The sequence below is a fragment of the Homo sapiens genome, chromosome 13 (assembly GCF_000001405.40).
Source record: "Homo sapiens chromosome 13, GRCh38.p14 Primary Assembly".
In the NCBI taxonomy this organism is placed as follows: Eukaryota; Metazoa; Chordata; class Mammalia; order Primates; family Hominidae; genus Homo; species Homo sapiens.
Genome location: NC_000013.11, coordinates 50,217,034 through 50,240,252, shown reverse-complemented (window position 1 = coordinate 50,240,252; position 23,219 = coordinate 50,217,034). Strand labels below are relative to the sequence as shown.

General features: G+C 40.5%; 2 long non-coding RNA genes across 2 annotated transcripts in view; both read right to left on the bottom strand.

Annotated features, from left to right (window-relative positions):
* The window catches only part of DLEU1 (deleted in lymphocytic leukemia 1), a 446,475-nt gene that overhangs the window by 288,391 nt on the left and 134,865 nt on the right, over positions 1-23,219 (bottom strand). The gene's annotated exons all lie outside the window — the stretch shown is intronic.
* Positions 909-17,415, bottom strand: LOC124900337 (uncharacterized). The gene is made up of 2 exons (XR_007063796.1): positions 15,876-17,415; positions 909-12,348 (listed from the first exon to the last, which is right to left on the bottom strand). It is a non-coding gene; the product is annotated as an uncharacterized LOC124900337 (long non-coding RNA).

The window sequence follows — 23,219 nt, the reverse complement described above, 5'->3', positions numbered from 1 at the left end:
AGGCATTGTGGCAAGTGCCTGTAATCTCAGCTACTCAGGAGGCTGAGGCAGGAGAATTGCTTGAACCCAGGGGGTGAAGGTTGCAGTAAGCCAAGATTGTGCCTCTGCACTCCAGTCTTGGTGAAAGAGCAAGACTCTGTCTCCAAAAAAAAAAAAAAAAAAAAAAAAAAATAGTGGGCCGGGTGCGGTGGCTCAAGTCTGTAATCCCAGCACTTTGGGAGTCTGAGGCGGGCGGATCTCCTGAGGTCAAGAGCTCAAGACCAGCCTGGCCAACATGGTGAAACCCTGACTCTACTAAAAGTACAAAAATTAGCCAGGCGTGGTGGCACGTGCCTGTAGGCCCAGCTACTCGGGAGGCTGAGGCAGGAGAATCACTTGAACCAAGGAGGCAGAGGTTGCAGTGAGCTCAGATCATGCCATTGCACTCCAACCTGGACAACAAGAGTAAAACTCCATCTCAAAAAAAAGTGCTGACAGGGAGTGGACAATGATGATGATTCCTCTTAGAGGAGGTGAACAAATTCATCTCCAAGATTCCTGGGAGTCCATGATAATAGAGTGATAATAAGAAATAATGATACAGATGAGATGATCAGCTTTGTTTATTAAAAATCTTGCCATTGGAGTCCTTCAAAGATAAACTTGGGGACTATAGTTTTACTACTGTCTAGCATATGATAGTGTTTAGTAATATAAAATGTCTTTTTACTTGCTTGCCCTGTAACAAAAAGGGAAACAAAGATTTTTTAATGTCTGGTTATTTCCAGTGATTACAGTGTCTAGTCTTCTTTGTTATTTTTTTAAGCTTTTGTTATAAAATTTCTCAATCACACACAAATGTAGAGGAGAATAGTCTAGTAGACTCCCATGAACCCATCACCCAGCTTTAATCATTTTCAACATTTTAGTCCAGCTTTTTTAAACCCTTTATTTGACAGATTTTCATATATTTTTATTCAGCAAGTATTGATTGAGCAACTACAGGTCAGGCACTCTTCTAGTGCTGGAGATACATGTATAAAAAAAGAAAATAGCCAAAAAATACCTGCTCTCCAGGCCACAAGGAAGCTAAAGTGCTTACATTCACTGACTCAAACTTTCCTCCAACAGGCTTCTCACTGCTACATCTTCATCCTCTCCTTCTGCCTTCTTTCTAGTTTCTGTCTTGGGTTCATCTGGTTTGGTTTTAGCATATCTGTGTTCTTACCTAAACCACTCCAACTCTTCTTTGTAGAAAAATGTAGCGCTAAATTGATAAACTAAATACTTCACAGGGACCTTTAATGACTGACATGAATCTAAATTTGCCTACTAGAGAACTCTCTATGCATAGAGAAATGTTCCAAATCCTTATTTCTGGCCAAAGACCTGTGTATTATTTTTACTTTCCCAGATAATTACCTTTAACATTATTGGATTTTTCACATACAGTTAGATGATTTTCACACTGATAATTTGGGAATTACATTGCCCCTAAGTTAACCCTTTTCTACCTAAAATTAAATTTTGCTGCTACCCCAAAACATGAGGAAATTGAATGCCCCCAAGGGCTTTGTAGTTCAAGTCATAACACAGTGGTTTAACACCTATAGAACCCCTCTCTGATCTTTTGGGATTATTTTTATCAATAAAGTGAAAAAATGAGGGAGGGAAGAGGGAATACAGGAGAAAGGCATCACACTTTCCTGATATTTCTCAACATAACCAGCAACTACTTTCCATTCCTTTCAATGCAGCCACTAGGCCCTGAAATACAGTGCACAGATGGTGTTAGAAAGGACTCAGGCCTTGTGTGACCTTCCTGGTCAGTGATTCTTCCTGGCCCAAGTCCAAGAAAGACCTCCACCCATGACCGTGAAGTGAAAACTTATCTAACTCAGATACTACAACTCCAACCATCTCCAGGTGAAAGTAGTCCTTTGGACCAAGAGACTACAACCTTTCTCATATGTGATATTTTGTAAGGTGCCAATAATAGGCTCAGCAATGGGGACCCCAGGTCTGAACACAAAACTGTGAAAGAAATTATTGAACTCTGAGAATGTCACCTAATAGAGAGACTGCTGTGCTCAGAGTATGAGACATGGGTCCTAATCCCAACTGTACCACTGATTTGTTGTGTGACAACAGGTGAGTTTATCTGTCCACACTCCAGTTTCCTCACCCGTAGAAAGGGATACCCACCCTGCCAACTTTACCCATATATTATGAAGACAAGTTAGCAGATGACTTAGTGCTTAGAAAAGTTAAAGCACTTGGAAATGAAACACATTAGTATGCAGTCTCCTTCCCCATCCCCTTTCTACATCTCATTTTGTGTTTCTCTTGCTGAACCTCTCCAAGAAACCCTCTTAAGCAATGAAAGCAAAGCCTTCTCTTTGAGCATCAATTCTGTAATCCTCCAACTGTATTTGGAAGGGAAACAAATTCTCCACCATGTTAAAGGCCTGTTTGTCCTCCTCTTCCCCCTAACAAAAAGAAAAATTGCAATAACTATCACTATTAATATATATATATCACTATGTTTGTCACTATTAAGCATATATCAAGTAAGTGACTTGCATTGTCTCATTTGATCTCCACAAAAACCCTCTTTGATAAGTATGAGTAGCCCCATTTTACCAATGAGGAGACTGAAAATGAGTTTAAATAATATGCCCCATTCAAACATCCTAGGGACTTCCAAATCCCAGTGGTGGAAGAAGGAATCCCTTCATGTCAGAATTTCGGGCACTCTAGCAAGCCTGAAATCATGTTAATAGCAAGTTAGAGAACTTTAGTTGGAGGATTGGAAGGCTTGCTTTTCTGCATTATCCTTCAAACCTCCCCTCAGGGAGCACCTATGAAAATAAATCAGTTCCAGAGTTCTCACCCAAACTGCTTTCAGGTTAGACAGCCAAGGATTCCAGAACAAAAGTATCCAGTGCAATTTAAAAAGGGGAGAGGCACACAACAGGGAAGCATGTCAAAGTGTGCACAAACAAGCTCGCCCTCCACCACCAGGCGTATTTACAAGTGACCACGTAAATTGTGATTTAACGGTCCAGCATGTGGTATAAAATGTCAGCAACTTTCACAGAGAGAGAAGTCTGGTTTTTACACCCACACAGCACTGTACACTTGACTTGAGCGCCCCGAAAATTCCCCTAAGCATTTTTATCATTACGTATCACTCGTATCACTACACAGTTTAGTCAGCCAAACCATATCCTTTTCCAGCTTTAGATAAATTGCCTTCTGACAAACTGCACACAGACAAAATATCACGAAGTCCCCAAGTTGTAATCTCTACCCTGTTTTTCTACAGAGATGAGTAAGATTTTCCTATTTAGTTTTTTTAAGTACATAAGCAGCAGATGCATGTAATATACGAATATTGTCATTAGTGTGTTTACTCGCTTTCTTGAAATATATCTGAGTTTTATCACTACCTTCGCCCAGATTATGCCACTTGCCACAAGAAAATTACTGCACAAAGACATATTGGTTTAAAAAAAGAGGTGGTCATTTGCCTTTTCTGAACTCTCATTATAATGGATAAAGCTTTAGCTGTACTTTTGGGGAAAATGAACATCATCAAAAAGTGTAAGCCTTGTCATTTTTACCAAATGTCATTTTTACCGCTTTGTCATTTTTACCAAACTTACAGTCAACATTTAAACAAATCTTTTAATATACTGTAGAGAAGCGAACTTTATAAACCATTACAAAATGTTTAATCAGAATTCATTTTAGCCAATCTAGTAAGAGGTCAGCTCAGTTTTCTGTGCTGTAACAAAGCTACGTCTATTTTTAAGAGAATACAGTAACTAATACTTTATTCATCCAGCTAATATTAAACTTATGTTCAATAGCTATTAAGAAACATACTTAAGACTACGACTGCAGGTAGAAAAACACACACACAGTTTCTAAATACCCTGTACTTATTAGAGTTGCTAATCCAAAAAAAGTATTTGTCATGTAAATGAATATACACAGCTCTTTGTCAAGCTAACGAAACTTGTGATAAGTAACACACACACACAAACACACACACACTGGCAAAGCTAGCAACCACTGGCCAAGTAAACCAACAATAGAGCTAAGAACAGCAATAGAAATATCCCCGGACACCTAGTACCTAATAGTGCCCAGTGAATGGTAGAAACTCTGTGTTTGTTCACAAATACTAATGGGTTTTAACCTAATAGAAATGTCTTCGGGAGAATTGTAAATATGTTGGACATCAGAAGTAGGTCAGAGGCATCAATGTTGAACATTTTTCACATCACAGTTTTATTGTTTTAATTTCCTACTTGAAATTAATATACTACTTTTTGAAATTAGTGTTACGCCAGATGCTGAGTTTATTTTCACATCTTAAGTGTATGAGTTTTACTTTCAGTTTTTACCTAACGAGACACATGTCTTGATCAATATACATTAGTTCACGCAGTTGTCTACAAAGCCAGGTGCTTTCAAAATGATTATATTCTATATTTGTAGAGTACCTTAAGAGTTTTCCATTGCTTTCATGCCCATTATCTCATTTAATGCAAATAACAACCATGTGCATGAGAAGGACAGCATTATTGTCCCTGTTTTACAAGTAGGAAATGAGATCCAGAGAAGTCAAAGTGTCTGGGCCAATGTCACAGAAGTAATGAGTGGCGAAAGTGGGACTGGAATCTAGGCCTTCAGGGTTTTCCTTCAACATGCCACCCATACATAGTGCAACAAAACTACAAACCATAAAATTAATCCCAGAGAAGCTATTTCTACTATACCTCCATTCATTCAACAAGTGTCAGTCTAGCACCTACTATGCCAGATGCTGAACCAGAAAGAAAGATAAAAGCTCAACAACTCTACATGCTTTTTCAGGTGCTTTGTCTCTTTCTTGTTATCGTCATTTCCAGGAGTAGCCTGGACTTTCCTGCTTAAATTGTCCAAAGTAAATGTATTAGTCCATTTTCACACTGCTGATAAAGACATACCTGAAACTGGGAACAAAAAGAGGTTTAATTGGACTTACAGTTCCACATGGCTGGGGAGGCCTCAGAATCATGGCAGAAGGCAAAAGGCAGTTGTTTTTTTTTTTTTTTTTTTGAGACAGAGTCTCACTCTACCGCCCAGGCTGGAGTGTAATGGTGCGATCTCAGCTCACTGCAACTTCTGCCTCCTGGGTTCAAGTAATTCTCCTGCCTCAGCCTCCTGAGTAGCTGGTATTAAAGGCATCTGCCACCACACCCAGCTAATTTTTGTATTTTTAGTAGAGATGGGGTTTCACCATGTTGGTCAGGCTGGTCTCGAACTCCTGATCTCGTGATCCACCTGCCTCAGCCTCCCAAAGTGCTGGGATTACAGGCATGAGCCACCGCGCCTGCAAAAGGCACTTCTTACATGGTGGTAGCAAGAGAAAACTGAGAAAGAAACAAAAGTGGAAACCCCTGATAAATCCATCAGATCCTGTGAGACTTATATACTATCATGAGAATAGCATGGGAAAGACCAGCTCCCATGATTCAATTGCCTCCCCCTGGGTTCCTCCCACAACATGTGGGAATTCTGGGAGATATAATTCAAGTTGAGATTTGGGTGGGGACACAGCCAAACCATATCATTCCACCCCTGGCCCCTCCAAATCTCATGTTCTCACATTTCAAAACCAATCATGCCTTCCCAACAGTCCCCCAAAGTCTTAACTCATTTCAGCATTAACCCAAAAGTCCACAGTCCAAAGTCTCATCTGAGACAAGGCAAGTCCCTTCCACCTATGAGCCTGTAAAATCAAAAGCAAGCTAGTTACTTCCTAGATACAATGGGGGTACAGGTATTGGGTAAATGCAGCCATTCCAAATGGGAGAAATTGGCCAAAACAAAGGGGTTACAGGGCCCATGCAAGTCCTAAATCCAATGGGGCAGTCAATTTTTAAAGCTCCAAAATGATTTCCTTTGACTCCAGGTCTCACATCCAGGTCACACTGTTGCAAGAGATGGGTTCCCATGGTCTTGGGAAGTTCCACCCCTGTGGCTTTGCAGGGTACAGCCTCCCTCCTGGCTGCTTTCACAGGCTGGCGTTGAGTGTCTGCAGCTTTTCCAGGTGCACAGTGCAAGCTGACGGGACATTCTGGGGTCTGAAGGATGGTGGTCCTCTTCTCGCAGCTCCACTAGGCAGTGTCCCAGTAGGGACTTTGTGTAGGGGACTCAAACCCCACATTTCCCTTCCGCACTGCCCTAGCAGAGGTTCTCCACGAGGACCCTGCCCCTGCAGCAAACTTCTGCCTGGGCATCCAGGCATTTCCATACATCTGAAATCTAGGCGGAGGTTCCCAAACCTCAATTCTTGACTTCTGTGCACCCACAGGCTCAACACCACATGGCAGCTGCCAAGGCTTGGGGCTTCCACCCTCTGAAGCTGCAGCCCGAGCTCTGTGTTGGCCTTTTTCAGCCAAGGCTGGAGCGGCTGGGACACAGGGCACCAAGTCCCTAGGCTGTATACAGCATGGGGACCCTGGGCCTGGCCCACAAAACCACTTTTTCCTCCTGGGCCCCCGGGCCTGTGATGGGAAGGGCTGCCATGAAGGTCTCTGACATGGCCTGGAGACATTTTCCCCATGGTCTAGGGGATTAACAGGTTACTTGCTACTTATGCAAATTTCTGCAGCCGCCTTAAATTTCACCTTAAAAAAAAAATTGGTTTTTCTTTTCTACTGCATTGTCAGGCTGCAAATTTTCTGAACTTTTATCCTCTGTTTCCCTTTTAAAACAGAATGCTTTTAACAGCACCCAAGTCACCTTTTGAATGCTTTGCTGCTTAGGAATTTCTTCCACCAGATACCTTAAATCATCTCTTTCAAGTTCAAAGCTCCACAGATCTCTAGGGCAGGAGTAAAATGCCACCAGTCTCTTCGCTAAAACATAGCAAGAGTCACCTTTGTTCCAGTTCCCAACAAGTTCCTCATCTCCATCTGAGACCACCGCACCATGGACCTTATTGTTCATACCACTATCAGCATTTTTGTCAAAACCATTCAACAAGTCTCCAGGAGGTTCCAAACTTCCCAACATTTTCTTGTCTTCTGAGCCCTCCAAACTATTCCAACCTCTGCCTGTTACCCAGTTCCAAAGTTGCTTCCACATTTTTGGGTATCTTTCCAGCAGCACCTCACTGTGCTGGTACCAATTTACTGTATTACAGACTAATACAGTTTTCACACTGCTGATAAAGACAGCCGAAACTGGGAACAAAAAGAGGTTTAATTGGGCTTACAGTTCCACGTGGCTGGGGAGGCCTCAGAATCATGGCAGGAGACAAAAGGCACTTCTTACATGGTGGCAGCAAGAGAAAAATGAGGAAGAAGCAAAAGTGGAAACCCCTGATAAACCCATCAGATCTCATGAGATTTATTCATGATCACAAGAATAGACCAGCCCCCATAATTCAATTACCTCCCCCCTGGGTCCCTCCAACAACACGTGGGAATTCTGGGAGTTACAATTCAAGTTGAGATTTGGGTGGGGACAGAGTCAAACCATATCAGTAAACATGACAAAGGCTTGTAGTCACAGCATGCAATTTCAGGCACTGTGATGAAGGCATCCAAAGGACACTTTTTAAGTCCTTCCTTAAATCTTTGGCCTGCTGAATACCACAGGGTAAAGTAGGGAGCTGTGACTCTGCTCTGCTCAGAAAACATGATTTAGTGGCACTGGAAGGTGATATATTTAATGTCATAAATGACTTTTCTTTCCCATCATCCATATGTCTAGACCACATATGTGACTCAGTATCCTCCTCCCAGCACCCATCTGCTGACTCTCTGGGTCCATGCAAATCACTGAATACCCCTCTTGCCCACCCAGGTCTGAACACCTAAGCAGAACTATTTACAGAGGTGCTTCCAAGAGGCCAGAAATGGCAATCTTATCCAAAATTTCTCCTTCCTGAAATATCACCATTCTAGTTTTATTATTTTATAATAAGTATTGATCTCTTCATTCCATTTATTTTAAAAATGTGAATGCTCTTAGAAAAAATAGTGTGGGAGTTTCTATTGCCTTCACGCAAATTTGTTTACTATGGGATTTACTTGTTTACCAGGAATTTCTAGAAAGAGAGGAGGAACAGGGCAATGTGACTTGAATGGGATCCTGAGAAAGTGGAGGCCCACAGAACATTCAGAGGCAGGTAGGAGACAGCAAGAGAAGGATTGCCACAGACAAAGCTCTCCAACTTCATGGCTTTGCCAAAAGGAACTCTGAAACTAGGTTTATTCTTGGCTCCTGAAGATATAATGCTCCCTGGGCAATTTTTCTTCTTTTGTTGTTGTTGTTGTTGTTTTGGGGTTTTTTGGATAAAAATATCCAAAGAAAATGAAATCGATGGCTCAAAAAAATATCTGCAATCATATGTTCAATGCAGCATTATTCAAAATACCCAAGATATGGGATTAACCTAAGCATCCATCAACAGATGAATGGATACAGATACATATATGCAATCGAATATTATTCTGCCATAAAAAAGAAGGAAATCCTGTCATTTGCAACAACATGGATGAACCTGGAAGACATTATGCTAAGTCAAATGAGCCAGACACAGAAAGACAAATACTGCATAACCCCAATTATATTTAGAATCTAAAAAAGTCAAACTCATAGAAACAGAGAGTAAAATGCTGGTTGCCAGGGCCAGGGGACTGGAGAAAGTGGGAGGATGTTGATCAAAAGGCACGAACTTTCAGTTTATAAGATGAACAAGGTCTGGGGATCTAATGTACAGCATGGGTGGTGATGAATGTGTTCATTAATTTGATTATGATAATCATTACAATGTATACTTATATCAAATCATCATGTTGTATAATTTTAATGTATTCACTCTTTATCTGTCCGTTAAATGCTTAAAAAGAAGCAAATAAGTGAACAAATATTTTTTAAAAGTTAATTTTTAATGTAAAATGAAACTCTGGCTTCCATGGGGGAAATGCATGAATAATTTTGAGTATGAAAATTTCCAGCTGCCTCTAACAATTAAACACTTAAAAAGAAACAAATAAATGAACAAATGTTTTTTTAAAAGTTCATTTTTACTGTAAAATGAAACTCTGGCTTCTACAAGGGAAATACATGAATAATTTTGGCAATGAAAATTTCCAGCTGCCTCTAAGAAATTTCTACCTGCATTACCATAAACTAAAATAAATAATCACTCCCAACACCTACCAATAAACATTCAGTTTTTCCATAAATCCACAATTTAGTCTAGGCCCTTGGAAACTTCTTTGATCCATTATTTTTCTTTTTCCTTCTTCTTTCCTTCGTTCCATATCTGATCTATCGCTGAAGACTGACTGTCCAAACCATCCAATTTGTTTTATTCCCTGTGATTCCATTCTTTTCATTTCACCCCTGGTTTACAGCTACCACCTCAAGATTGCATTTCCTGCCTCTGGTCCAGTGGTTCTCCACCTTAGCTTAGCCTGGGGAAATTGAAAAAATAAGGATATCTGAAAGCCACCCACAGAGATTCTGATTTAATTGGTCTGTGGTGCAGCCTGGGCATTAGGATTTGTTTGTTTTTAATTGTGGTAAAATACATATAACATAAAATTCACCATCTTAACCATTTTTAAGTGTACAGTTCGGTAGTGTTAAGTACACTCACACTGTTGTGCAATCTTCAGAACTCTTTTTATCTTGCAAAGCTGAAACTCCACATCCATTAAGCAATAACTCTCCATTTCCTCCTTCCCACAACCCCAAGCAATCACTGTTCCACTTTCTGTTTCTATGAATTTGACTACTCTAGGTACCTCATACAACTAGAATCCTACAGTTTTTATCTTTTTATGACTGGCTAATTCATTTAGCCTAATGTAGACATATGTATAGAATATGTACATACCATATTTTATCCACTCATCTGTCAATGAACATTTGGGTTGGGTTGCAATCAACATTCTTGGCTATTGTGAATAATGCTACTGTGAACATGACTATGTAAATATCTCTTCAAGACCCTGCTTTCAATTCTTTGGGGTATATACTCAGAGTGGATCGCTGCCTTTGGCCTTTCAAATGCCCATAAAAGGCAGCCATAATTTGCTCTGCTGTAGACAAATGACACATCAGGAATGACTTGAGAATATTCCACCTGGCCTCACTCCAGGATTTCTTTCATCTAAAGGGGATGAGCTTTCTCTTCCCCAAGGCTTTTTGAGTCTGGCATCACCCTTTCTTAAGTGTGGACAGTGTGCACAGCTACACACTGTTCCAATGCAATGGGAGCAGGGCTTGAGCTGAGACATAGATGTATCTTCACCAATGGAAAACACGGAGAAGGTAAGGACAGATCAGAAGAGGTGGCAAGCAAAACCCTGGCACTCTGGGTTGGAGGGAGAGTTCCTACATCAAGAATTTAAGGGCTTCAGAGCCCCTGAGCACTGAACAGATTATTATGTCCATTCCTCATTGATAATTAAAATTGCAAGCAGTTTTAAGGTTTAGACTGTAAAACGGGTAAAATGAAATCTTACCAAGTTTTGGTTTTCCCTATGATATATATCAATTTTGATGCTTTTATATACATACACATACACACATGAACATACACAAAAACATACAAGCATGTGTATTAACTATATATATATATATATATATAATGTTAAAACTTTTTCATGCCATTGTTTCCTTATTTGAGAGCCTCCTCTCTTGCCAGTGCCCACAGCCATTTTGACTTTGTCCCCTGGGTCACTCAATACTGTCTGTCCCTCTGATGAGGACAAGGATTAAAACCTAGTGGTTCAGGATCCAGACCCAACTCAAAGAAGCCTGAAGGACATTTTCCGGCCCTACACATACTCGACAGGGTCTAAGAATGAGACATTATGACATAGTCTTAATACTTTAAGTACTAAGTTCAGGGTACTCTCCCAGACATCACACCACAGGATCCCGACATGAGGAGACACTTAGACAAGGAAACTGAAATCCAGTCTAAAGTCACATGGCGGCTGGGCGCTCTGGCTTGCGCCTGTAATCCCAGCACTTTGGGAGGCTGAGGCAGGCAGATTGCTTGAGATCAGGAGTTCAAAACCAGCCTGGCCAACATAGTGAAACCCCGTTTCTACTAGAAATACAAAAATTAGCTGGTCGCGTTGGCGCATGCCTGTAATCCTAGCTACTTAGGAAGCTGAGGCAGGAGAATTGCTTGAACCCAGGAGGTGGAGGTTGCAGTGAGTTGAGATCACGCCACTGCACTCCAGCCTAGGTGACAGAGCAAGACCCTGTCTCAAAAATAAAATAAAATAAAATAGAGTCACATGGCAAATTAGTGTTGCAGCCTGGTGTCCTGCCTCAGACAACTGCTCTGGACCACTGGGCTGGTGGCTCAGATCCCCCGCCCCGGCTCTCCCATCTGCCTTTGAACAGCAGGGTTCAGTCTGCCCAGCCGCCAGCCAACTGCGCCTCAGTAATCTAAGCCCTACAGGAAATAGGAGCCTCAACCCCCCTTCTCACGACACTTGTAATCCAGAGGAGTAGAGAGGATGGACATAATGAAAAGAGACAGGAACACAAATTGTTTTAAATACATAATCATACACAAAACCAGTTGCAGCTGGTACATAGGGCAGTAGGGCTGCTGCAGGGGCAGGTGGAGCTGGTCAGAAAGAGGCAGGCTCTAAGTGGAAGGGGGCGGGGGAACATGGCTCAGAGAAAGGCATGCTACCCTCCCTTTGAGCAAGAAAAACAACTGTCATCTAGAAAAGTTCCAAATCCCGAGAAATACAACATGGAGAAAAGAGGTCTGTGGATCAGGAAGGGGGCATCTTCCCAGGACACATGATGGTAGTCTAGGCAAAGGTTGGCAATTGCTAAATGTCACAAACTCATCAGTGGGCTTTTAGATTTCTATCTAGAGGCAACCAGAAGCCATGGAGACAGTGGCTTTTCTGTAGGGGTACACTGGGTCATAGTTCCCCTATGAGCCCTAAGAACTGGCCCACTTTGAGGGTGGCCTGTAGTGAGGCCAATATTTAAATAGATTCTTCAGTGTAATAAATAATAGGGTAATGATAGGGTCTAAAAGCATCAAAATAATCTTATACAAAAGGGAAACATTTTTAAAATTAACCTAAAATCTAAATAGGGTAGGAAAGCAGGTTACCTCAAACATATCCTTTCCTGGCTTTGAACTCTCCACACACATTCAAGTCAGCAAGACCTAGAGAGACGAGGCATCTCGACAGAGGGAACAGAAGATTCGAGTCTGCTCCTGATTGTCAGACCAGGTCAAGTTCTCCAAGGGGACTCCTCGCTTCTAAATATTCCTCCCACTTGTGGCTGTTTGCTCTCTTGTTCCTGGATGGTAAATTCTTCCAGGGTAAGAACCTGTCTGTCTTATTCTTAGTCAAATGCCGCCCCCCGCCCCCACCTACCCACCCACCCACCAGCAGTTTCCACAGGCCCGGCACATCCTAAGTGCTCCATAATTATTTGTTAATTGATTTTCTGAATTGCTGAGCGAGTCACATTCCCTCTTTGAACCTCAGTTTCTTTATTTATCATCTTGAAAGTCTGAGCTATATCTGATAGTCCAAGAATTTAACTCACTATGTTTGTGGCTAGCATTTCCCCAAAGGCAATGGGCTGAGATGAGGCACGCCCAAGACTGGAGAGAGCCAGAGGCCCTACTGCAGCCTCCACCATGTGTCACAGTCCCCAACACCAATCTCAAGGGTAAACCTCAGGGAGATGCAGGGGACACACGAGAGGCCAGGAACCAATGGGGAAAGACTCAATTGCAAGTTAGGAGACCTAGATCTAGCCCTGGTTCTGTTACTCCTATCTGTGACCCCGAGAAAGTCACTGTAGGCCTCGTATTTCCTAATCCATAAAATGACTGGGTAAGTCCCAATGAAATTTCCCTCCAGATCTCAGATCTTTTTTGTTTTATTTCTCTTCAGACCCAAAGTTGTTCTGTCAGAGCCCTGCCAGCCATAAAAGAGACTTGAGCCTGCTGTTATTGTTAATATTCTCAGGATCTCCTGAGCTCCAGATTGGCACATTTTCTTGAGGATATGAATGATTGAATCAACCAGAAGGAAAGAGACTCAGTTTCCTCTAACCTAAGCCACATTAGCCTAACAGAAACACATGAAAAATGTAAGGGCTTCAGTAGGGAAAATTTTGAATATCCAATATAATCCCTCCCCAAGCTGGAGTAACTGCACTTTTCAGTTTTTGCATCTGTGTTGTCACTGGGGAGTTATCTGGCTATATCTGTGTTTTAACATCTGTCAGCTAAATCAGAGAACTAAATGCAAAAATTGTAGGTCTCAGAAGCACCATGTGGTTTTTGACACTCCCTGAATGACACAGGGTCAAGAAAGCAATAAAGGAATTGCCATGAGACCCAATATAACATTTTCATCAGCAACATGGCCCTTGTTCCAAAAAGCCTTTGCTCCAAAAAGAAAGAATATGTACCCATTTCCTCCAGAACCATATTTGGAAATCTCAAGGGAGAAGACCATACAAACTGAAGCATCTGGGATGAACAAATGCCTTTCTATTTAAAGAGCATCATGTCTATAGACATAACAGAACCAACACCCATCAGCATCTACTCCAGGTATGAGTAAGCATCAACTTAAAGTGAGATATGTGTGCTTTGATATCTGGGATGCAATATTGCAGGTATCTCAGCTATGTGGACATAAATTTATGAAGGACTGGTTCCTAGGGTCCTATGGCTTTAACCGAAGGTCACTCTTTCAGCTTCTTTTGTTTTACAGATAAAGAAATTGAGCTGAAAGGTGGTGGAGTGACAGTTCAGCTCCAACAGTCTAATGCACGTTGACAGCAGGATGAGAAATCACAGATTTCTCAGGATATCATATAAAAACTGAGTTAGCAAATCACTCTTCCCCATGCAAAGTATAATGTGGTGTCAATGTCTCACAACCCCAGGGAGGCTACCAGCAAATTCACATGACAAGTCTTCCACTGGGACAAGGGTAACATCTCCCTCCCTAAAAGAAACCAAAGTTTTAATATTACCTACTAATTCTATGCAGGATCTCTCTTGGCATAAGAATATGAATGTGATAGCTAAAGTCAGGCTTCTGTTTCAAAGGCTGTTTGCTTAAATGAGGGTTTCTGGGTCTCTTGGTTTTTCACACATTTTGAACTCCACACCTGATAGCCATATTCAGTAGAAGGCCTTGCTTAAATGCTTATTCCAGACCCATGAGAATTCCATATGAATGTTTTCATTGTTCTTCCATCTTTGGACAACTAAAGCTCATTCACTCACTTTGACATGTAATTGTTTATATGAAGTCCTTGCTACAAAGCATTCATTGTTGTAAGCTCTTTACATGTGTGGCCTCAATTTAATCCTCATGACAGTCTTACGGGGTAAGTACAATTTTGTCATCCCATTTTACAGATATGGAAACCAAAGGGACAGACAGGTTAACTTACCCAAGGTTAAGTAACTCACCAAGCTGATAACTGATTGAGTCAGGATTTGAACTCAGGCTTTTCTCCACTAGAAAGTAAGCTCCATGAGAACAGACACTGTTTTATTCACTACTGTATTCTTAGCCATCCACATGGTACCTCAGATATAGTAGGTGCTCAATAAATATTTGTTGAATGAATACACTACATCCTCCTCAAACCAAAAGAATGACCCAGCATCACAAGCATCGACTTGAACCAAGAGTAAATTGCATAGAGGAGCATTTCAGGAGAAAATTCTTCATGCAACCGCCAGGCTTTGCACAAAGAATGCCAAGTCCCATTGTGTCTGCCTGAGAAGAACTGGGAGAAATCCTTTTGACCTATTTCTTCCAAGCTGCCCCTGAGCCCCCCCTTCTCCCAGGCCACCCTTATTAGGTCACTGCTGAAACTGGGTCAGTGTTTAAACACTGCAGTCAGCTTATAATGCTTTAATCATTAAAGTTTACTCTATTATCTGCACATTAAAGAAAGAAACTACTACCTCAAATCACAGCACCCAGAATCACCTTTAGGCTTTTCTACAAAACCATGCTAAGACACAGATTTAGAGTTGCCTCTTTTTTACTACAAATCAGCTCTTCCAGAACTGGACTGAAGCACACGAGGCCTCATCGCTCCACTCCTAACCCTTCTTCACAGGGCTGCCTAGCTCTTGTCTTCTGCCATTCTCCCAGGCTCCTTTCTAAATTAAAATTTTGGATTACCCAGACTCTAATTCTTATTTAAAATAAAACCTAAATTACTACCTTATGTTTGGGGCAAGTCAACACCCCGTCTGGCATCTCTCATTTCTGTGTGAGATTTGAACAAACCCACCCGGCACAAGTGGAAAATTGGTCTTGCATCACATACTCTGTTGGGATCACCACATTTGGAATTCTAGGTTTATTCTCCCACAGAGTCAAATTTAGCCCAACCCTAGAGAACGGCTCTGTGCACTCTGACATTCAAAATAATATTTGCTAAAAAGCGTGGGGGTTTGCAGGCAACTTGAGCTGCAGCAAGAGGCATGTTATTACTGACTCAACTCCTACATGGGTTCCATCTTAGTCATCAGACACATGGTCACGTCCTCAGCTTAATTTCACAACCTACCCCCTTTTTTTTCAATCCAACCACAGAGGACACAGGTAGGTTTTGCATAGTTGTTGTTTTGTTTTATGAAAGCCAAAGCATAAGTAAGCCATTATGATTATAGTATTTTATTTTAAGGAAATCTCACCCAAGGTGAGACAAAACTTATGTACAGCTATGCCTTGGATAAATGGGAGTAATGATGATTGCTCCACAGTGACCAGGTCTGAATAAGGAAGTAGCAATCTTAAATATTCTCTATGGTTTAAAACCAAATTTCCTACCTGAACTTGATTTCCCATCGGATTGGTCTCTCCTGCCAGTTTTTACCATTCACCAGCCACCAGGCAGACATCACTGATAAGGATAATTTTTCTTTGGCTGTAAAGATTGAGCCTCATTCAGGTTACCTCAAGGAAAAAGTCGATTTATTTTAAAGATAAATGGCCTAGGTCTGGCTCAGAAACTATCAGGATCCCAGGCAGTTACTTACTTCTTTTCTTTCTTTAATCACATCTCTCTCTACATGTGAGTTTCATTTTTTTCCCTTTACCAACTGATACCTTGCACATGACCAAAATGGCTGCCTTAGCTATCAGTCTACCTATGACCTTTTTGGTTGGCTGGCATAGGCTTCAGTTTCCCATCTTCTGATTCTGAAGGACTCATAATATCTGTGTAGGCCAGTGCACACAGAACCTGGTAACTGGTCAGTCTGAGCTGTAGACATTTCTGGATGTGAAGTCAAGGGACCACCCAAGTCTAATAGCTGGGGAAGGTATGGAACAGGGGTAGGCTGAAGGAACAGACAGGGTGAAATTGTGTTGTATATAACACGATTATTAAAGACAACAGGGACTGAGGGTGAGCAAGCAATACTGGGCATCTCTAGTACAAATGTATAAAAATGTTTGTTCTCATTGAGGGCACACTTGATGACAGCCATCATTTAAAATTAAGATTTCATATATTTAATACTACTATTTTTTTAACCCTCCCTTCTTCTTAAGAGTAAAATTGAACAAGCTGGGCAAAAATTTTAAGTAGTAAGTCTAATAATGCTTTGAAAGGCTGAAAGTCTTTCATCAATGCAGGATAATGTATGAACTCCTGACTTTTTCAGAAAGCTATTTGTCAGTGAACATCATTATGTCCCCTCCAAATTATCCCAACATTACAAAGAACCTAAAACGTGTAAGATGTACACAGTTTGAAATAAAATCAATAAAAAATGGTTAATGTTTCTCACCACCTTTGTTTTACAGACTGCACCTACCTCCTGCAGCTCATAAATGCTCAGAAAATAAGAACGTCCACTGGCAATTCTATCAGTTTGTGCATGCCAATTCTTGACACTCTCCCCAGTTTTCTTTCTGATATTAAGAATAATGTTTACAATGTGATAACAGCACATTCCCAGTGTGAATGTGGCTAACAACCATAAAAGCAAACACCTAGGGCCATCTCTGTTGAATACACTTTACAGGATTGGTCCCCATGGGATAAAGTAGCCCAGTGCTCAGTGAGGGAACTGTAGTATAAGTATCCATTGACCTGCAGCTGAACTTACCACTTGCTGTTTTTCTCTTATAATCTAAATCTGGAAATGTGCTGTCTGGTCAGCAGTGCACTACCAAGTCATTCAGCAAAATGCTCCAGATGCCATAAAAGCGTGCCTGGATGTTAGAAAATGAACTTGTAAAATATAGTCTCAGGATTGTGCAAAGGCTGTATTTCAGACAGCCAAAATGCTTCTGCCAAGACACCTTTGTCACGCAGCCAGGCAGCAGCTGTGTGTATTGTAGACGCTGTGGCTGTGAGTCTGTCTGTGGAGTCGCAGCCGGCCCTGCCTCTGACCTGCGTTGTCACTGAGCACCCTCACTAGGACAACATTCTGAATCCATCTCACTGGTCACTGGCAGCTGAGCTAGGGCCAGTTTCTCCGAAACTCCGAAAGTTTCAAATCGACGTTCTCTGTGGTTTAATTTCGCAAGACACATCACCACTCTCCAACCATCGGCAAAGGGAAAACACCCAAATCTTATATGACACATCTTACACGATTTGAAAAAGAGAAAGGCAACTTTTTGAAAGACACTGTAGGCACTATTTTGAAGGAATAATCGTGTTTTTAAAAATACCATGTATTCACTTGTTAAAGCTGATCTTTTTTTTTTTTTCCAGACCTGGGTCTTGGTTTTAATTTAATCTTAGGTTGATTAGTTGGTTGTTTTAGTTGGTGGTTTTGTCTTTTGTTTTTTAACAAATACTTTAGGTTTTTTTTTTAGTACAGCTACCTCTGTATTTATCAGCATCTATAAATTATATTCTTTATCCTCCATAAACTTTTTTGTTAATTCCACCTCTTAATTTTGTTCTCAACTCAACTTCTGTCCCCCACCACCACCCCATCACTTTTTGCCTTTGGTATTTGTTAGCCTTTTAACTGGTTAAAAGGCTATTCAGTTAGCCTTGTAACTGGTCTCCCACTCCACCACTGCTCCCAAAATCCATTCCATATGTTGCATTTAGAGTATCATTTGTTTATTTTGAGATGGGGTCTTATTTTGTCACCCAGGAGTACAGTCATACTCACTGTATGTAGGAGCATGGTCACAGCTCACTGCAGCCTTCAACTCCTGGTCACAAAGGATCTTCCCAGCATCCCGAGTGGCTGGGACTACAGGTGCACACCACAGGGTCTCTCTGTTATGCTCAAGCTGGTCTCAAACTCCAGGGCTCAAACAATCCTCCTGCCTCAGCCTCCTAAAGTGCTGGGATTACAGGTGTGAGCCACCGCACCTGGCCCAGAGTATTGTTTTTAATACATATCTAGCCCAGACACCGCCATGCTTAAAAGTTTTCAATGCCTTCCTAGCTCCCTTTCTACTTCTCAGAGTAATCTCACATCTTCCCTCTCCAACTGCCCATGCAGCACCTGCCTCCACACCTCAGGCCTCAGTGGTCTTTTGTCAGTTCCTCCCAACTCCTTGTCCCCTTCAGACATGGGAACATCCCAATGCCATTCCCCCTGCTGGAAAAGCCCATCCCTCCTCTTCACCAAAGGTTCTCCTACAGGTCCTTCCTCTTGGCTTCACTGCCCTGCCTCAGAAACCTTCCCCAATTGCCAACTCAGGTGAGATCCTGTTATATGCTCTCAAAACATCCTGTTCTTCATCATACTCACTATAATAATGGTAATACATCATGCATGCAATTCACTGTTGAATGTGTGGTTTTGTGCCTGGCTTCACCCTAGTCTCTCCCAGATGCCTGACATGACAGGCACTCAGTAAATACCTGCCACTTGTGGAGTACATCACCTTTACATGATATGATAAAAGTTTAAAAGGACAACTCACTATGTTTCACACATGTTGGTTTGGAAGGGTCTGAGAAAGAGACTCTTTTTTTTCTAATTTTAATTTTAGGTTTAGGGGTACATGTGAAGGTTTGTGACATAGATAAACATGTGTCATGAGGGTTTGGTGTACATATTATTACATCACCACTGATGAGAACGCTCTTTCCTCAGTGCTTCCTGTCACCCTGGACATAAATTACCCAAGTCTGGCTGAGAAGCTGACCGGTGGAACTTACAGTACAAAACTCAACTAGCCAAACTATGCAAGAAATCACAGGTTTCTAAAGTTAGAAGGAGCTTCAAGATTGTATTTATCTCGAGGAGTTCATGTCGAATAATACAATAGGCTCTTAGTTATATTTTTCCTCTGTCATTTATTTTTTTTAAACGGGGATAACTCTGTTGCCCAGGCTGGAGTGTAGTGGTGTGATCTCAATTCACTGCAACCTTCACCTCCCACCTCAAGCCATTCTGCTGCCTCAGCCTCCCAAGTAGCTGGGATTACAGGAACCTGCTACTTTGCCTGGCTAATTTTTTTGTATTTTTAGTAGAGATGGTGTTTCACCACATTGGTCAGGCTGATCTCAAACTCCTGACCTCAAGTGGTCCTCCGCCTCGTCCTCCCAAAGTGCTGGGATTACAGGTGCAAACCACCGCGCCTGGCCAGCCTTTTTTCTAAGCAATCTTTTTATTTTAGAACACTTAGATGATTGTGATGGTAGTACACAGTTCTCTTACATGAGCTTCCCCTTAGTATGGTTTATTTGTCACCATTAATGAGCCAATATTGATGCATTATTATCAACGAAAGTAGAGACTTTACCCAAAATTCCTCAGTTATCACTAATGTCCTTTTTCTAACCCGGGATCCCATCCAGGATACCACATTTCATTTTTTTGTCATTTCCTTTGGCTGTTCTTGGTTGTGACAGGTTCTCAGGTTTTCTTTGGTTTTGATGACCTTAACAGTTTTGAGTATTAATGATCAGGTATTTTGTATACTGTCTCTCAATTGGTTGTTTAAAAATTGAGATATAACTCACATGTCATAAAACTGACCCTTTAAAGTATACAATGCAGTAGTTTTTAATACATTTATATAGTTGTACAACTGTCACCACTATCTAATTCCAAAATACTCTCATCATATCCAAATAAAACCCGATACCCATTAGCAGTCACTCACTATATCCCTATTGCCCAGCCCCTATCAACCATTAATCTGCTTTCTATCTTTATAGATGTGCCTATTCTGAACTTTTCAGATAAATGGCATCATATGACATGTGTCTGACTTTTTTCACTTAGCATAATGTATTCAAGGTTCACCCATGTTGTAGCAGATATGAGGACTTAATTCCTTTTTATGGCTGCATAATATTCCATCATATGGATATACAACACTTTAGTCATCACTTGATGGACATACGGTTGTTTTTACTTTTTGGCTATAATAAATAGTGCTGCTATCGACATTGGTGTACAAGCTTTTGTGTGGACATATATTTTCAGTTCTCTTGGGTATATATGTAGAAGTGGAATTGTTGAGTTGTATAGCAACTCTGTGTTTAAGTTTTTGAGGAACTACCAAACTGTTCTCCAAAGTAAATGCAACATTTTCATTCCCACCAGCAATGTATGAGAGTTCCAACTTCTACACATCCTTATCAATACTTGCTAATGTTTGTCTTTTCTATTTTACCTATTCTGGTAGGTATTAGGCAATATCACATTGCAGTCTTGAATCGCATTTTCCCAGTATCTAATGATGTCCAGCATCTTTTCATGTGCTTATTGGTCATTCATATACTTCTTTGAAGAATGTCTATTCAAATGTATTGTCCATTTTTAAAATTGGGTTGTCTTTTCATTGTTAAGTTGTAACAGTTTTTCATATTCTGGCTACAGCTTTATCAGATGTGAAAACATTTGCAAACGTTTTTCCAATTGTGTGAGTTTATTTTCACCTTCTTGATAGTGTCCTTTGAAATTCAAAAGTTTTAACTTTTGATTAAGTTCAGTTTATCTATATTTTCTCTGCTTATACTTTGGCTGTCATATCTGAAACCATTACCTAATCCAAAGTCACAAAAATTTAAACCTATTTTTTTCTATGAGAATTATATTTTTAGCTCTCATAGTTAGGTTTTTGATATCTATTTTTAGTTATTTTTCACATATTGTACAAGGTAAGGATCTAACTTCATTCTTTTGCATATCAATAGCAAGTTATTCCTGCACCATTTGTTGAAAATACTATTCTATCTCCAGTGAATTGTCTTGGCACCCTTGTCAAAAATCAATTGACCATAAATGTCTGAGTTCATTTCTGGACTCTCAGTTCTATTCCATTGATCTCTGTATGTATGCTTATACCACATAATCTTGATTACTGCAGCTGTGTATTAAATTTCAAAATTGGGAAGTGTGAATTATCTTTGTTTTACTTTGTCAATCTTGTTTTGGCTACTCTAAATCCCTTGCATTTCCATATAAATTTTAGGATCAGCTTGTTAATATCTGGGGGAAAAAAACCACTGAACTTTTAAGGATAACACTAAAACTGTAGATAAAATAGGAGAGAATGACCATCTTAACAATGTAACAATGTTAAGTCTTCCAATCCATAAACCTGAAATATTGCTCCATTTATTTAGGTGTTCTTTAATTCATTACAACGTTTTGTACTTTTAAAGATAAAAGTCTTGTACTTCCTTTGTGAAATTTATTCCTAAGTATTTTATCCTTTTTTATCCTCTTTTAAATGGAATTCCTTTCCAACCTGGGCAATATAGTGACACCTCGTCTCTACAAAAACATTTAAAAATTAGTCAGTCAGGGTCGTGTGCACCTGTATTCCCAGCTACTCCTAAGGCTGAGGCAGGAGGATTGCTTGAACCTGGGAGGCAGAGGTTTGCAGTGAGCCAAGATCGTGCCACTGCATTCCAGCCTGAGCAACAGAGGTAGACCCTGTCAAAAACATAAAAAAGGAATTGCTTTATTAAATTATTTTGAATGATTTATTGATAGTGTATAAAAATACAATTGACCTTTGAACAACTAGGAATTGGAGTACTGACCCCCTTTCACAGTCAAAAATCTGCATGTAACTTTTGACTCCCCAAAAACTTAACTACTACTAATAGCCTGCTGTTGAAGGAGTTCAAGACTAGCCTGGGCAACATTGCAAGACCCTGTCTGTACAAAAAAGAAAAAAGAAAACTTAGCCAGGTGTGGTGGCACACACCTGTAATCCCAGCACTTTGGGAGGACAAGGCAAGCAGATTACTTGAGCCCAGGAGTTCCAGACCACCCTGGGAAAAATGGTGAAACCCTGTCTCTACAAAAAAATATAAAAAACTGGCCAGGCATGGTGGCAGGCCCCTGTAGTCCCAGCTATCGGGGAGGCTGAGGTTGGGAGGATCACTTGAGCCCAGAATCTCAAGGTTGCAGTGAGCCATGATTCCACCACTGCACTCCAGCCTAGGTGACAGAGCAAGACCCTGTCTCTAAAAATAAGAAGAAAAGAATAAAAAAGAAAATCACAAGAGAAAATATATTTATTATTCATTAAGTGAAAGTAGATTATCTTAAAAGTCTTTATTGTCTGCATGTTGAGTAAGCTGAGGAGGAGAGAAAAAGGAGGTGTTGGTCTTGCTATCTCAGGGATGGCAGAGGTAGAAGAAAATCATATAAGTGAACACACAGTTCAAACCTATATTGTTGAAGAGTCAACTGTACAATTGATTTTTGCATATCCATCTTGTGTCCTGTAAATTTGCTGAACTGTTTTATTTGCTCTAATAATTTTTATTAGATATAAGATCATGCTGTCTACAAAGAGAGATCATTTTAATTCTTTCCTCCCAATGTGAATGCCAATTTCTTTTTCTTGCCTAAGTACTCTGGCTAGAACTTCCAGGACAATGTCAAATAAAAGCAGTGAAAGTGGATATCCTTGTTTGATCCTAATCTTAGGAGGGAAGTTTTCAATCTATCATTATTGAGTATAAGTATTAAGTATAATGTTAGTTTTGGGCTTTTTGTAGATGTTCTTTATCAGTTTGAGGAAGTCCCCTTCTGTTCCTAGTTTGTTGAATGTTTTTATTATGAAAGGGTACTGGATTTTGTCAAATGCTTTTCCTGCATCTATTGAAATGATCATAAAATTTTTTAACTTTATTCTATTAATGACACATATATTGATTGATTGATTTCAACATGTTGAACCAGCCTTGCATTCCTAGAATACATCTCACCTACT